At 43.0% G+C, this 16,613-nt stretch overlaps 2 protein-coding genes across 3 annotated transcripts in view; one reads left to right on the forward strand and one right to left on the reverse strand.

The window, feature by feature from the left end:
- The window catches only part of MGST2 (microsomal glutathione S-transferase 2), an 88,800-nt gene extending 76,638 nt beyond the window's left edge, over positions 1 to 12,162 (forward strand). The window contains exon 6 of the mRNA XM_017008211.3: positions 11,343 to 12,162. The gene's annotated coding sequence lies outside the window, so the exon portion shown is untranslated. The remainder of the gene's footprint in view (positions 1 to 11,342) is intronic.
- Positions 1 to 16,613, reverse strand: part of MAML3 (mastermind like transcriptional coactivator 3) — a 437,432-nt gene that overhangs the window by 25,704 nt on the left and 395,115 nt on the right. The window lies entirely within an intron of this gene.

The raw sequence follows: 16,613 nt of genomic DNA on the forward strand, positions 1-16,613 counted from the left end.
CTTTTCACTCTTTAATCAGAACTCTTCTTGGGAAGCATGATTCAGCAGTGCTTGGCTTATAGTAGGCGCTCATAAAGGTTTGCTCTTAGTATCGTCCCTATTAATAATGAGGAAGTTAGAAACTTTAGGTGGGGCCTATATTTTCAGCTCAGATTTTGTTGGTTCTTAACGGTCACATCAGTTCCTCAGCTGTGTAAAGGAAAACATCCCTGTTTACAAATGACCACTTTTGCTTAGGATAAAAGTTAAGTTGGTAGCTAAATATGAAATGAGACCCTAGAATAAACATTCTTTATACGTCTTGTGTTTATCCTGTGCACAGTATAATTGCCCTTGGGAAGTTGATGGGAAACTTTTAGTGAGGAATAAATCCACCTTTTTGACTATAACAATAGAGGCCTTCAAAGATGGAGGTTATGCACCAAGTATTTTTTGCCACCTATCCCTTCTAAAAGCATAAATATTTTTGCTTAAACATCTGGGATGTAGCACCAGTTTCCTAATTTCTTTCCACCAGAAACTGAAGCCAAGTCTGACCTCCTTACCATGATATCCCCTCAAATGCCCACTACCACCCCCTCATTTTTCCCCAAAAGCTTTCTGGGGTAATTTCTCCTCTAGCTAGTTGACTTCATACCCACCTTCACTCTGCTTCCCAGATCCAGGCAGGCTGCTTTACAGCATAACCACGATTCACATATACACGTCTCCACCTAAAGTTACACGCCTCCTTTAAGAGCTGCTGCAACCATTACCACTTCTCTCCAAGGTGACTGCTTGTGGGAGGATAACAGCAGAACAGGAGGGGCAGGGTGATTAATGCTGGAGTAGGACAGGGAGATCTAACCTGCTGTTCAGGAGACTTCTCAACCTGAGAAAGCTTCCCGGACACTAGGGATCCTGTTTCTGGTCTTCCTTCCCTTTGGACCATTTCTCTGATAGACACCGTTTCTTGTACTTTGGCCCAAATAATTACTTTCCCCTTTGTGTTTCTGTTTCCCTTTATCCTCTCCCCCATTTTAAGAATACACAATTTCTCAATCAGCAATTATTAAACCTTTCTCAAGTCAACCAAACCTTTTCTGGAAGCTGACACTAAATATACATGGCTGTAAACTTGCTGAGGAGTGGAGGAGGGGTGAGTGGGGATGACAAACCTGGAAACTGAACTTGAAATCTGTCTCAGATCCCAAGGATACCACACGGGGAAAAGCCAGCCAGTGTGAGATTCCTTTCTTTATTTTCCTTAGGTTCTCAGGGGATAATTTGTACTGAAGGTTACTTTCTATAGAAAGCCTTGAGAACACTACCTCTTAATCATATTTAGAAGCATATAAAAAAGGTCGACAAGGCCAATCTTGATTTCTTTTTTCTTTGATGTAGTCACAGAGAATTTTGAAGGAAAGATGGGGTCTCTGAGTCCCCATTAATAAATAAAAGTAAGTCCTCATGTACATTCATGTACAGGGTGCTGAGAGCTCACATGTGGAGGGGCCATCCCTATGGCCATAGAGTCCTGCCATGGTCATTGTCACTAACAGTTGTCACTGCTGTAGCAGGGTCCCAGTCACTCTTAGTACCTCTCAGAGGTTTCTTGGGGACACAGCCCAAATATATCCTGTAGTCAGATGCACAAACACCTTGGGTAGGAACCTAGAGAGGTCTGGAATACTCTGATTCACCTTCTGCTAAGAGACTTAGATAAGGAAGGCTGACTAGGTCAGTTAAATTGATTGCCAGGGTGGCTGACCTAATAGAGGTTCAGGGATCTGGTTTGAGAACATGGAGCCTCAGACCCTTCCCTTCAAGCTGTGCAGCATTGCATATCCTTAGTGTCATTTTCAGTCTCAGCTTCCAGATCTTAGAGTTGATTTTTCTTAAAGAACACTCACAGCTAAAACAAACAAATAAAACAAATAAGCAAACAACCCACTTGCTTAATATGATATACCACCCCCCAGGAGCATGGGTTGTGGTTATAGCTTTGCTTGGGATTTTATGTGGAGTAAGTCACTGCATGGCTAACATGCAAATATTGCTCAGAAAACAAGTATACCTCCCCCTGAAGTCTGAGCACTAGAACACAATGTGTGGCGTGTATATTTTGCTATTAAAGTTTGCTTTCAATTTGAATATGCATCCCACTTTTTGAAAAACTTTTATTGCTCAAGGAGTCTGCACAGGCCCAGTACCCCAGCACAATGGCAGGGGCTATGGTGGGACTCTCAGACTCTCACTGCAGTGCAGCCACGGCCCCTGTCCTGGAGGGAGACTGAAATCCTAGTGCAGAGACAAGGTGCACTTCACGGAAAAGCTCAAAGATGACACCAGCTGGTCAAGAGGCAAGCTGTGTGGCGTGTGTTCTGTTTCCATTCGATTTCCATAGAGCCAGGCTGACCAGACCCGGGATGGGCAGAGTGGTGGCATGGCGTAGAAATAGGCCCAAATGTGGATACAAGGCACATGAGTTCTAGGCAGTGTTTGACCTGGGGCAAGTCACTGAACATTTCTAAGCTTCAGTATTCTCCTTTATGAAATGAGGAAGCCAGTCCAGGTAATCTCCAAGGTTTCTACTCGCTCTAACATTTCTCTGGTTCCACTTGGAAAGAGCTTCATGGATTAGCAGGGACTTGACTGAGAGCCTTGATGGAAGTGTAGATTTGGATTTGAGTGAGAAGAGAAGGAAGGAAGGAGAGCGGCCACCTGCAAGGAGGGAGGTGGCCACCCAAAGTTGGGGTGTTTGCTGGGATGTGTGAGAGGAAAGCTTCACAGGGTGGGACTGGCCATGGACAGATCTGCATGCAGGCAGATCCAGCCGACTCGACCACCGTCCATCAGGAGCCACAGCAGGTTCTTAAAGGGAATAAACGCTAAATGCATTACTTTAAGGAGATTAAGCTAGTGTCAGGTAAGCTAGTGTCAGATTAGAACAGGGCTGGATCTGGAGAAAAGTGGGCAGGAAGGGTTGGGAGGTAGCCATGGGGGTAATCCCATCAGGAGGTGAGGGGAAGCTGGCTGAGATTTGGCACTTGACTGTGGGAACTGAAAAAAGCCAAATGCACCTGCCAGGCATATTCCTGCAAGAATAAGAATTCTCATGTGCAAATATCTGGGGTCATTTTCCGGTCTGGGATCCCACCTCCTCCCACTCATTTCTCTTCTCTATTATTGTGCTCTGCCCAGTCCACATGGCTACCAGAAACCTGGCAGAGATATAGTGATCCCTGCTTTAAAATCAGGTAAAAATAATGCTAGTTTTTCTGGTCTTCCCTATTTTTAAAAAACTAAATTTATTTAAATGTGAATTTAGTATACAGGATTTTAAACATACCACCTGGTTTTTGACAGGGAGTAGAACAGTAGGTATATACTGTGAATATTTTCAAAGCCCTAACAATACATCCTGGGGATGGAGGAAAGATGGCAGGCAGTAACAGGAAATGTGACCACAACAACTTGGAGAAGAAGAAACCTTTTAGTTTTTGTGCTTCCTTAACTTGTTTCTCCAACTTTCTCCTGCTACTAAATGTTTCATTCACTCAACTTTTTTCAAGAAGTCCTGACAAGTAATAACGAAAGTTCTATGGTGGCCCAATTAAAGACTTTTCATGACAAGTAGACTTCATAACAAATGTGATAACTAAATATTTCCTAAGCATAAGCTCTCAGTTGGATTTTTTATTAAAAAGTCAGAAAATCACTCTCGGTCTTATTGCTAAATCTTGTTTGCAACAGAAATGGTATGTTATATTTTTGTAAGATAATTAACATGGCATGTATTCCACTAACCTTTTAAATCTGAACTAGAGATGGTAATAAGAATAATTTCTAACAAAATAATTCATCAGTACACAACCAGTTGGACTGTTGAAAATTTATGATTGAAGTTAAGAATACCTTGGTGGTTTCAGGTAAAAACATGTTTTATATCACCAACTTGGAGACTGAGTGTCTTCTCTGAAAAAAATGAAAAATCTTCCCTTTAAAAATTTTCCTACCCCTTATCAAGACAACAGAGGAGAAGCAGATACCCTGGTCCACAACACTCTGAAATTACCACTGGGCTCTGGAAAATGGATTGCTTCACCTATTTGTTCTGTCTTCTAATCCCAGGGAGGGGCTGCAAATCTCCCCATCTGTCTCTCTCGCTCTGCGGGCCCCTCGTTGCCATGGTCTTTCCCACAGTATCTAAAGGAACAAGATTCCGCAGACGTTTGACACTGGACCTCCGCAGGCAGCCAATTTGTTTTCCTTTCACCTCCCCCCTTCTCCTCCTCTCTCCCTTTCTAATATAGCATATTCTTTCTGTGCACCCACCAAAAGTAATGTGTCAAACTATGATTATGTTTTCTTTTATGAAACAAGTAGAAGAGAGACGGATTGCTTTCCTTCCTTTGATCAAGTAAAGGTAATAAAAAGCCTAGGGAGAATCGGGTGGGAGGGGGTTGCTGGCGTCTGCTGTCCTGGACTAGGCCAGCTTTTGTCGGGGGTTCATCTTAAGAAATTGTGGGCCACCGGCCGTGGCTTTCCCTCATGGCCCAAGGCTTGCAGCAATTGCTTCTCACTGTTCCTGTGTTTGGAACCTACTGAGTCTGTGCAGCCCTTAGTGGTTTTGTCTTGTGCTCTGGGAAAAGCAAAGGGGTTGAGGATGGAGGGAAGCCCTGTCCTCAGAATGTGCAGGGAAGTCAATCCTTAAATGATGGTTTCTGTAGGGTGGAAATACCAGTCTATTTGAACCCTTAAAGCTTATACCAAATCCACACCTTCTGCATCACTGAGGAAGGAAATGTAACTTGAGAGTTTGTGGCGCCGGTGGGAGGAGGGAGAAGAGTGCAGAGCGCGGGCAACTTTCCCCCACCTTTTAGACAGAAACTTTTCCTTTTAGCATCTGCATGCATCTCTTTAGTTAGAGAATGAATTCTAGGGGGAAGAACTTTAAAAATGTCTTCCTTGTAGGTCGGGCACAGTGGCTCACGCCTGTAATCCCAGCACTTTGGGAGGCCGAGGCAGGTGGATCACCTGAGGTCTGGAGTTCAAGACCAGCATGGCCAACATGGTGAAACCCCGTCTCTACTAAAAATACAAAAATTAGCCGGCTGTGGTGGTGTGTGCCTGTAATCCCAGCTACTTGGGAGGCTGAGGCAGGAGAACTGCCTGAACCGGGAGGGTGGAGGTTACAGTGAGCCGAGATAGTGCCACTGCACTCCAGCCTGGGCAAGAGAGCAAGACTCCCTCTCAGAAAAGAAAAAAAAAAATTCCTTGCACACATCATTTGATTACTGATACTTACTAAGAGTAATAAGAATGCATATATAGGCTGGGCGTGGTGGCTCATGCCTGTAATCCCAGGACTTTGGGAAGCCAAGGTGGGCGGATCACCTGAGGTTAGGAGTTCGACACAAGCCTGATCGATACAGTGAAACCCCATCTCTACCAAAAATACAAAAATTAGCTGGGCATGGTGGTGGATGCCTATAATCCCAGCTACTTGGGAGGCTGAGGCAGGAGAATTGCTTGAACCCGGGAGGTGGAGGTTGCAGTGAGCCAAGATCACGCCACTGCACTCCAGCCTGGGTGGACAGAGCAAGACTTCGTCTAAAAAAAAAAAAAAAAAAAAAAAGAATGCACATATAGAGGTAGTGGGCCTTTGAAAGGAGGATGGGAAAACAAATTCACAGGAACACTGCCCATGGTATATTCAGCTTCCAGATACCCACAGGCTCTAAGAGGGCCTCCATCTCTTTACATTGTCCAGGGCCTAAACAGGAAGATGGGAATTGAGGTTTGGGGCACTTGAGCCATAAGAGAAGACACTCCCTAGGCTGGGGTTTCTAGGGCTGGTCACCAAGATGCCTATCACTTTCCTTTCAGGGGCTTCAGAGAAACAGGCTCACACCCCAAAACAGAGTCACTAAGGGACCTGAATACCAGGAGGAGGGTCTAGAAATGGAAAGAAGTGGAGCTCAGATTGAGAACCAACTGGAGAAAGGATCTCTGGTCCTGAACATCAAAACGTACAACAAGGGGGAGAGAACAGGACAAAATGCATCAGTGGAAATGAGTAAAACTGAAGGAGCAGGAGGCTGCTGGGGAAAAGTCAGGCTGAGAAGAGGCCAAGAACAGACCCTGGCTGGGAGGACACTTCCGGCTCAGTCCCCCAAATCAGGATGAGGTTCAGCTTGACCACAGCTGTGCTTTCTATAGTCTATATGTTTCTGGGGTAAGGAGCAAAAGCACAATTGGGGTAAAATTTCTTTTTTTCTTTCAGTCTGAATGCAACTAGCTTTGGAAAGTTGAGCAATTTCAAGCTCCGAGGTTTTGAACAGTAGAAAGGCAGGGAAAAGTGAAAGAAGGTCTCAGCCTGACCAGGTATTTTGCCAGCGGCCATTTTCAAGGCCTGCAAACTCAACCCGGCTTTGTTTTGCTGGCCTCCGAAGAGAGCCTCTCTTAGGGGCTCCTCTTTGCATGCACACCATTTTGACCCTGCTTCTTTGGTGAATAGAGTGTGGGCACGATTGTGGCTGCACACGTCCTTGAAGTTCCAGAGGGCACCTCTTCCTTCCCATCTGGCCCCCCACAAACTGCCAACTAAAAACAATCCAAAAGCTCTAAACAGAGCTCAAATGGAAAAATATATTTCCTTCCTCAGGAAAGACTGGAATTTTCTTCAAATTGAGAAAAGGCAAAGAATGGTTTATAAATGTACAGTTTCTATGTTCACAAAGATATGATATACCCCAATTATATAAAATTATAGCCAAGTTCATATTTGACCTAATGCTTTTGCTTTCCAGGTTTCTTTGCATTAACACAGATTTCAAAAACATGAAATATATATTAAATGCAAAAAAAGTTTTCTCTAAGAGAACTGCTACACAAGCACCATGAGGCCAAGTTATAGGTTTGGTGGCATTAACATAGATATTTGCATATATTCCCTTCCTAATCTGCTTTCTTGCAGATCTAAGCGAAATCTGATTGTTTTCTCAGGCAAAAACCCAGCCCTAAGAGCAGCTCATAAACCTCACCACAGACACAGTACTCATGGCAACAGGAACTATTTCCTTTGGCTTATGAGCTCTGGTAACTGTCAAGGGGGTGGGGGGCGCCGATCAGAGAAATCTGGAAAGACATGAGTCTGTCAGAACACGTGAAAGGACTTGACATGGAGGCCACATTTGTGTTGCACAATTTGCATGAGCACTTCTGGACAAATTCTATTTTCACATGCAATTCACAGACCCGCGGTGGCAGTGCTAATTGGTGAGGTTGCCACTCAAGTGTGGTACCAAACAGGAGCTCTCACTACATAGATGAATAATACAGAGTTTTGAGCAATGCAGTAATTATTTTACAGTTATTCTACATCACCATCATTCCATTATCTCTTTGTCCCCCTTTCAACTCTCATAGTGGAGATGAATAAGAACCCCCCCCCACCCTATTCTGCCAAAAGTGGAATTCATGTTATTTGAAATCAACTTAAGAATAAGAAAAGAGATGGCAAGGAACAGCTATCATTTCATTAATATGGATGGATTATTCATGTCACTAGAGTGACAGTGAATTTGATTGTACCCTGAAGTGCCAATAGGATGCCAAACACAGCCGTGAAACACACAAGAAACTCTGAATGGCAGAGTGCTTTGGAATTCATCTGCAAGAATTCCAAACCCCCAAGATAAGGTAGCTCATTGCCCACATGATATTTCAATGCTAAGTGAAGAGAAAGGGAGGGTTCAGATCCCCTGGGTGCCTCCCATAGCTCCAAGTGACAGGGAAGAAGGGGTGACAATTCCCCAGTCCTTCCTAGGTGGCATTAGAAACTTTAGAAGCAACACAGCATCCCCTGTGGGTCACTCTCTAGCTTCAATAAAATCAACCGATCAGAGGGAAAGAGAGGCCTCCTAGGCGGTGGGTCGTGAGTCCTCCTTCTGAGGATGGTTCAGCATTTGCTGCCTCTGCACTAAATGCAAACCAGGTGGACTCTAGAAATGGCCTTTGGTGCAGTTTTGGGCTTTCTTCTCTTTGTTCCTTGGAGATATTAAGCCTTAAATCCTCTTTGAATTTGAGAGTTACTGATTGAGCTGTATCTGAACCATATTACGCCACATGATGAAACTCGACACACTGGAATTCACTCCTCCATTGTTCACTCTGTCTGACCCCAGTGAAGAAGTCTACCCTCCTGCAGCTGATAAAAATATAAATTTAAAGAGGTAGTTAGGTCCTCTTTAGGCTCAATTACTTTCTTTGTATATTCTACCTAAAAATGGCCTTCCTAAGGCACTCTATTTTGAATTTCAAAAGTTAGCGATAGATTTTCATCCTAGCATTTCTCATCTTCAGGTCTCATCACTACCTCCCACTCCCTACCCCCTTTTAAAAACTGAAGTGGGAGGAAGTTTCAGAAGAAGGGTTTTTGTTTTGCTTTTACATTTCTGACTTAGGCCTCAGTTGAAAATAAGCAATCTTTTATGGGTAGTGGGAGTGGAGATGTCTACTCCTATTTGGAACACCTGGCAAGCTGCCTCCTGTGATTCAATCACTCTTTTCCTGAAGTTAGAGACTGTTAGACCTGAAGGTCAGTCGTCCGTCTTCAGGGTCTAACTCTGGATCTGGCCTGCAGAGTAGGCAAAGAAAGATGGGGTGAGTAGTCACCCATAGGTATTTTCCAAATAACAAAATGCCTCTGAAAAATATCTCTCCCATGTCCCTGTCTAAATATAACATTTTCCCATTTGGGTTTAGATTTTCTAGGAGACTACTATGATACTTAAAATATTACTTGGAGTAGTCTAACATATTCAGGTTGAGTATCCCTTATCCAAAATATTTGGGATCAGAAGTATTACGAATTTCTTGGGATTTTGGAATATTTGCATATATATAATGAGGTATCTTGGGAATGGGACCCAAGTCTAAACACAAAATTCATGTATGTTTCATAATACACGTTATACACATAGTGTGAAGGTAATTACATACAATATTTTAAATAACTTGTGCATGAAACAAAGTTTTGACTGCATTTTGACTGTGACCCATCACATGAGGTCAGGTGTGAAATTTTCCACATGTGGTATCATGTCAGCGCTCAAAAAATTTTGGATTTTGGAGGATTTTGGATTTCAGCTTTTCCGATTAGGGATGCTCAACCTGTATATATAACCCACAATAGCCCCTAACCCTAAATAGTGCTTAGGTTCTAAGGGGTGGTACACAGATGGGTGGGTTTGATGGACCCCAGGGAGCCAGTGGGTAGACCTTGTGCCTGGAGGGAGGAGGAAAGAGGACACTGGAATACACTCAGCCCAGGTCACAATTTTGCCCACAGCAAGCCATGGAGTTACAATGACATCTTTGACCTCTAATCCGCAAAGTATCCATTCTTATCTCTTATAGTGTCTGCATGTAAGGTTACAGTATAGCTCCTTTTGATAAAGAAAGGTACACATTCAAAGCAGAGACCTCCAAGGAGCCTCCATATAAAAGGAAGCCTGTATTGCATTTATTACTACTATGGTCTGAGCCCAGCAGCAGAAATCTGAAGCTTATCATTACTGCCTAACTCTGGAATAGCCTTATCTTTTCTCTAGACTGTGACTTTGGGATTCGAATTCTAACTTTCCTTGCAGGTAGATACTTCAGCAATTTCTACAAAATGTTACAGATGGCTATCTGTAGGTTCTCCCTAATAATTCCTATTTCATTAGCTCTAAGACTCATAAATTTTAAGGCTCACGTTACGTACTACTAGAAAGAAAGAAAAAAGCACCTTGCAGAACTATGGTGTGCCATCAGTTGTAAGATGTATCCTGATTTCACAGATGTAAAAATGTGCATCTTAGGATCAATGAGATATGGTATTTAGGCCTGTGGTTGCATGGGCGCAGGCCTGGGACTAGGCTCCTATACAACCACCAGGTCTAGCATGGCGGACCCAACTCCTCTTCCAGTGTGTGGCACCCACCCTGGACCTAGCCTGGCTCTCTCTGTGCTCACAACCCCACCTATGAAAAGGGGGTGAGTGATAACCACTCCCCACCGTCTTCTTTGGGGTCAAAAAGAGGATGGCTGGGAAAGTGGCTGGCAGGTCATGGGAAGCTTTGGAAGCCAGGACTTCTCATGTCTTCATTCAGAGAAGGCTTGGCACAAATACATTCTGTATTTTTCTAAATGATAATAATAAAAAACCTTTACCACATAGCATTTATACATATTTCTCCCGAGAGAGCATGTGTACAGATAAGAAGAAACATGGCCAATCGAAGATCGCAGCACTAACACCTAAATGATTTTAGCTGGATTATAGAAGAAAAAAAAGCTAGAGGCAGGCAATAATTTTAAGGGAAAAAAATGTCCCTCTACATTGATAACCATAGTTCTTCAGGCTGTTAATGCGATGTCATTAGCTACTTCCTTGTGGTGACACTGGGAAGAGCTAACAGGGGGAAAGAAAATAGGATGGCGAGGTCTTTGCAGGCTGGGGTGATTTTTTTGAACCTATCTGCTAGGTCAAGATAATAGGAGGATACAATACAGACCTGAAGAATTTATTCTTCCTGTCTTCAAAAAGACTTATGACCGTCTTGAATCCTGTTTCAGGAGAGGGCTCAGCCAGTGAAAAACAGATTTGTAGAAAGAGAGGGTTACACACCACTCAATTCCTATTTTCCTTCTTTCCCTTTTCATTGGGGTAAAATATACATAACATAAAATTTATCATTTTAACTCCTTTTAAGTGTACAATTCAGTGGCATTAAGTACTTCACAATGTTGTGTGATCGATACCATGATCTATTTCCAGAACTTTTTCATCTTAAACAGAAACTCTGTACCCATTAAGCAGCCTGCCTTTCTTTGCTTTTTTCTTTTCTTTTTAATCTATCTATCTATCTATCTATCTATCTATCTATCTATCTATCTATTTTTTGTTAGGAGCATTTTAACTGCTGTTATGGGTATTGATACAAATTTGGAAAGGAATGTGATTAATATGCATGATGGAGAAAATCCTGACAGAAAAAAATTAAAGATGAGTTTCAGAGGCTGGTAGGAGAACTATTATAAGCAGGCCTTTATAACCTTGAGTCTAAAACTACCATGAAAATAAAATATAATTTTACAAAATAAGTGAAGGGAAAAATATCTGTATTAGGGCAACTGCAGATCTTTTATGCTCCTTCCCTACATACATCCCTGAGGCTGAGGTGAGAATTAATAAGTTTACAAGGCTACTCAAGTCAAATAGATGTTAAACTATCAAAGCTTAGCCCCACTCATTTCTTCTGTTTGTCCATCTGTGGATCCATCTCTCCTTTCTCTCATGCATATGCCAGACACAGCGCTGGACACCATGGCTACCAAGACGCACGGGTATGGCTGGCCCTCAAGGAACTCCTACATCAGAAGGGAGACAAATGGAAATGAAGAATTGTGTAATGAGCAAAAGACAGATAAGGGAATGATTAACTCTGTCTGGAGACTGGGGTGGAGGGAGGGGTAAGAGTTAATGAAAAACCTCTTTGCCCAAGGCAGAATTAAGAATTAATACTACCTACTATGCACATGTACATTAATATGTTGTAATGTTATAAAGTTATGAATGTGATAATTATAGACTAAAATATTAGTTGAATAGTAACATATAAACTGGCATATGCCCTATGACTGAAACTGCAAAACTTGAACAAGTGCATAATGCAAACAATATTACTATGCAAAACAAAGGTGTATTAGGGAGGTCAATTATGGGTGAGTTTTTAAATGTAAAAAATCACTAATTTTAATCACATGTTTATGTTCTTATAGTTCTTTAAACATTATTTTCTTCTTGATTATAAATTTATCCACTATGGAAAATGTGGACAACACAGAAAAATATAAAATGGGAAAGCAAAATCACTGCTGATTATTACCACAAAATGATAGTCACTCAATGTATTTCCAACCAAAACATTCATTCAAACAAGACAAGGATCATAGCTGCATGTTACTCCATTGTATAAAGCTGTTATCATTTATTTAACCAATTGCCTATTGTTGGACATTTAAATAATTTTCAATTTTCACTACTTTATGCTGAAATGAACATTCTTGTACATAAACTTTTATGTATATCTCTGATTATTTCCTTCAAATAAATTCCTAAAAGTAGAAGTTTTGTGTCAAAGAGCATGAATGTGTTTAAGGCTCCTGTTTTGGTACATATTATCAAATACCCTCTGGAAAGATATGACCTATTTACACTTCCATCAGGAATATACAAGGGTGTCTGGATTATACTTTAGGTTCAATTTTTAAAAAATGACCAGCCCAGTGCAATTGTGATTCTTCATGATTCTTTCCTAATAAAGAAGACACTGTAAATAAAACTAATTTTTAAAATTATTTAAAGTTTATTTATAACATGTAGTCATCTAAGCTTTCCCCTCAGTTTCTCTTCCTCTGCCCAAAGTCCCAGGAGCAGGCATGGTCGGCCTCTGTTCTCCTTAATCAGCACGCTGACATCCTATGTCTGTTGCTTTGCCTCTTCGGCGTGGCGAATGCCTGAGTGCCACAAACACCATTTCCCTGGGGTTGTCACCTGAGATTCTTCAGCTGTCTGCTCAGAGCAAGGCCCCGTGTATCAGAGTGAAAAGGCACGTCTTTATTCCTGTAGTTGGCTTGGCCAGCTGGCCGGCACCAATTCTTATGAATGACAGCCGGTTTGCTGTTCCATATTTCAACAGCCATAAGCCGGAATAGCACCTGTAGACTCTGGGAGTGAAACGCACTGGGAATGACATTAGAGAAAGCCTGCTCCTTATTTGGCTTGGACCTCCCACTGCCTCGGCAATGTGGATTTAAGAAAACTGTGCCAGCGCAGCATGGTGGCTCACGCCTGTAATCCCAGCACAGGCGTGCTGGGAGGCTGAGGCGGGTGGATCACGAGGTCAGGAGTTCGAGACCATCCTGGCTAATACGGTGAAACCCCGTCTCTACTAAATGTACAAAAAATTAGCCGGGTGTGGTGGTGGGCGCCTGTAGTCCCAGTTACATGGGAGGCTGAGGCAGGAGAATGGCGTGAACCCGGGAGGCGGAGCTTGCAGTGAGAGGAGATCGCACCACTACACCCCAGCCTGGGCGACAGAGCAAGATTCAGGATTTCCAATTAATTTTTGGTCCCTATATATGGTTTACTACAACAGCAGAAAAAGAAAGAGAAAGAGTGAGCTTTTGCATGTCAGTATTAAGTAAACATTGACACATTTAACACAGGGCCCTGCGCAGTCTGTTGAAGAAACTACAACAGGCCAGGAAGTGCCTGAAGAGTGTAGGAAGTTCTACCAAAATTTCTGGTTGTATGAATTTTAGGCAATGGATCAAGATATGGCAACAGTTAAAATAAAATAAAAAAACCCCCTAACTCTGTAATTTCTAATTCATTTAATGAACACTGTGGGGTCCAAAGTTGGTTGAAAATAGTTTTTGCAAATTTGAAGTTAAATTTCTAGCTCTGCAGGACTTACGTCAAAACACCCGCTATGGTCTGGGAAAGAATAAATCTAAGTGTGAAAGTTAACTCAAAAGTTATCTGTTCATCTACATAATTCATTAGGAAAGCGGCACATAGTAGAAGAAAAAAAAGCAACTTTCTGCAGAGTATTCATGAACATACTGCAGGAGTATAAGAACAGCAAAGCATGTAGGTTGTCCGGGGAAGAATGCTACTTTGAACCTTCTAATCCCAATGTATTGGTTGTTTAGTATGCTTTGAAGGGAACACTCCCTCCACCCAATGAAAATGTTGATGATTTTGAAAAATATGATGTGCACTGATAAAACATTATTCACTTTTAAAGTCCATGGTATTGAATAAAATGGATCTTTAATTTTGAGATTTTTATTATGCTCCATCAAGACACAGGAACTAAAACCAGTAGTATACTGGTCTATGTAACAGAATCACACATGGCTGAAGACAGAAAGTTGGCCTTAAAAAGTTGTCTGTCAGCATTCTCATAGAATATCCCAAGAATTATACCTGAGAGTCAAGGACTCCAAGCCTTAAACCTTAAAGGGACCCCGAGGCACTAGCTAACTTCTCCCTCACAGGGAAGCTGCCTTGGAGAAGTTGGTGTGCAAATTCAAGCTCGTAATAAAACACTTCTGGAAATGACTTGGTTGTGGCTGTGCTTTAGGCTCCTACCAGCATGGACAGCTCTTTGCTCACTGCACCTTCCCCCTACATTCTCTGCAACTTTTTGCTCTGAATTGAGTTAATGTCTGACAGTTTGGCACCCGTGAAAAGGTTGCTACTTTTGAATGGCAGCACACAATATTTTCGAGAACTAAAGTAAGAATAATTATCTGGGGAAACACCCAGGTTTTGCAAAGCCAAAACCCCTGCCCTTCTCCCTAACATTTTTATGGAGGTTCTCTTAACATTGCAGGACCTCATATGAATGCATGACTAAGTCTCCCGCCAGTACAGCAGCTTGGAAGCGCATTATCACAGCCAACAGATAATTCACCGTAGAACCAGAAGGAAATCAGTGACCTTGCCCACTGCGCTCTGGTCTCAGACTCATGCCTCTGTGTTCCTGGCCTCTGAATATGCTGTTGCCATCTTGCTAGCCTGATGTCTGAGCCAGGGGGATCATCCTAGACTCTTCATCTTCTGCCCGCCTCTCTTCATATCCAAGCTATGAGAGAATCAGGGCGTTTTACCTCCTCCACAGCACCCTACTTGGCATTTCATTGGTCCAGGCTGTCAACTTTCCCTTGGAGCTCTCTGCTACTCTCCTGGCTGGTTGTCCATTTTTCACTCTGGTTTCTCTCCAATACACCCTCTAGCCACCAGGTCCTGAGCCTGCCAGTACTCCCCCTCACACTCACACTCCAGCAGGGTAAGAATCCTATTCCTGGCCAGGTGTGGTGGCTCACCCCTGTAATCCCAGCACTTTGGGATGCTGAGGCACGTGGATCACCTGAGGTCAGGAGTTCGAGACCAGCCTGACCAATGTGGTGAAACCCCATCTCTACTAAAAATACAAAAATTAGCTGGGCGAGGTGGCGTGAGCCTGTAGTCCCAGCTACTGGGGAAGCTGAGACAGGAGAACTGCTTGAACCTGGGAGATGCAGTGAGTCAAGATTGCACCACTGCACTCCAGCCTGGATGACAGAGTGAGGCTCCATTTCAAAAAAAAAAAAAAAAAAAAAGAATCCTATTCCTTATCAGGGCACACTTCATGACCCACCTCTCCAGCCTCATCTGTTGAGGGCCACCATGCCAGCCCCCATGCTACCTCTGATCCTACCAGACTATTTGTATTTGGCTGAATGTGTCTTGCTCTTCCCTGTCTGTTTTCTCTGCCTCCAGTCCCCCTACCTTCTTTACCTGGCTAACTCCTTCTACTCATCCTTGAACTCTGAGCTCTAGTATCACACCCAGGAAGCCCTCCCTGCCATCACCGTGGCTGGTCACTTCCTCTCTGAATATCCAAAGCACCTTCTGCCTTTCCTCCACTAGCCTTCTCATTGCATGTGTCACAACCGCATGCCCATCAGTTTCTCTCCCCCTGGCTGAGGGTCCCTTGCCAGCCTTTGTCTTTGTATTCACTCGCCTCTTGCAGTGCCTATCATACAGTTAGGACCTAATGACTTAGTGATAGACAAATGATGGAAAATAGGTCTGTGATTAGCTGCTTCCTGCAACCTTGTTATATTCCTACCTGACCCTCCACAGGTCAACTCAGGACAACTTTTAAAATTTGATTTGGGAGAGAGGCGTCTGCATTTCCTGAGGCTCCTGTCTAAATCACAGTTCTGGCCATCCAGGGAAGGAAGGTATGCCTTCCTACTCAGCAGATGTGGCCTGAGTATACGTTGCTGTGTAAAGGAAGAAAACCAAGGAGTCACGGTAGAATCTGAATATATCTTTTAACTTTTTTTTGTTAATATTTTAAGATATGGCTACTACAGCTGATTGTTATCGATCTGTGTGTGCAGAGGTGGCCAGAAAGACTGATGTATGCCCAGCTGTTCATTTGATACCAGACACACACTTTAATCTGGGTCTGAAACCTCGATTTGTATGACCCATTGTGGCCTTTTAGGGCCAAGCTCTTGACATGAGAGTTACAGCAGGTTTCCTGCCTCCCCTCCAGCCATGTTCGGCTGCAGGAGTATGCTCGGTACGTTATCAAACATTTCTGGTCCTCTCCTGATGTCCCCGTTTATTTTCCAGCAACAACTGTCTCAGAATTGGCTTTTCCACCTTATCCATGTCATCTGATGACTAGCTTGTCTCTTCTCCAAATTCCCCCATACTAGTCACATCTTCCTCAAGGCTTTTCCTGGACCAAACTAAAGTTTCCTGAAGATCACCAGCCACTGACAAATACACCAAGTGATATCCCTGTTTCCAAAATATCAATCACACACTCAGAGAACCACTGAGCTGGAAGGGACCTCTGGGCATCGTGGCACCTGAACCTCTCTTGATGAGAATCTACAAGACATTTTGTTAGATGTTTGTCCATCCATCCATCTGTGAAAAATCACAGTGATTGGTTGAGAGACTGGTTCTAAAATGAACATCATGTACTTGGGAGACAGATGTCCAA

Source organism: Homo sapiens, chromosome 4 (assembly GCF_000001405.40).
Source record: "Homo sapiens chromosome 4, GRCh38.p14 Primary Assembly".
Lineage (NCBI taxonomy): Eukaryota > Metazoa > Chordata > Mammalia > Primates > Hominidae > Homo > Homo sapiens.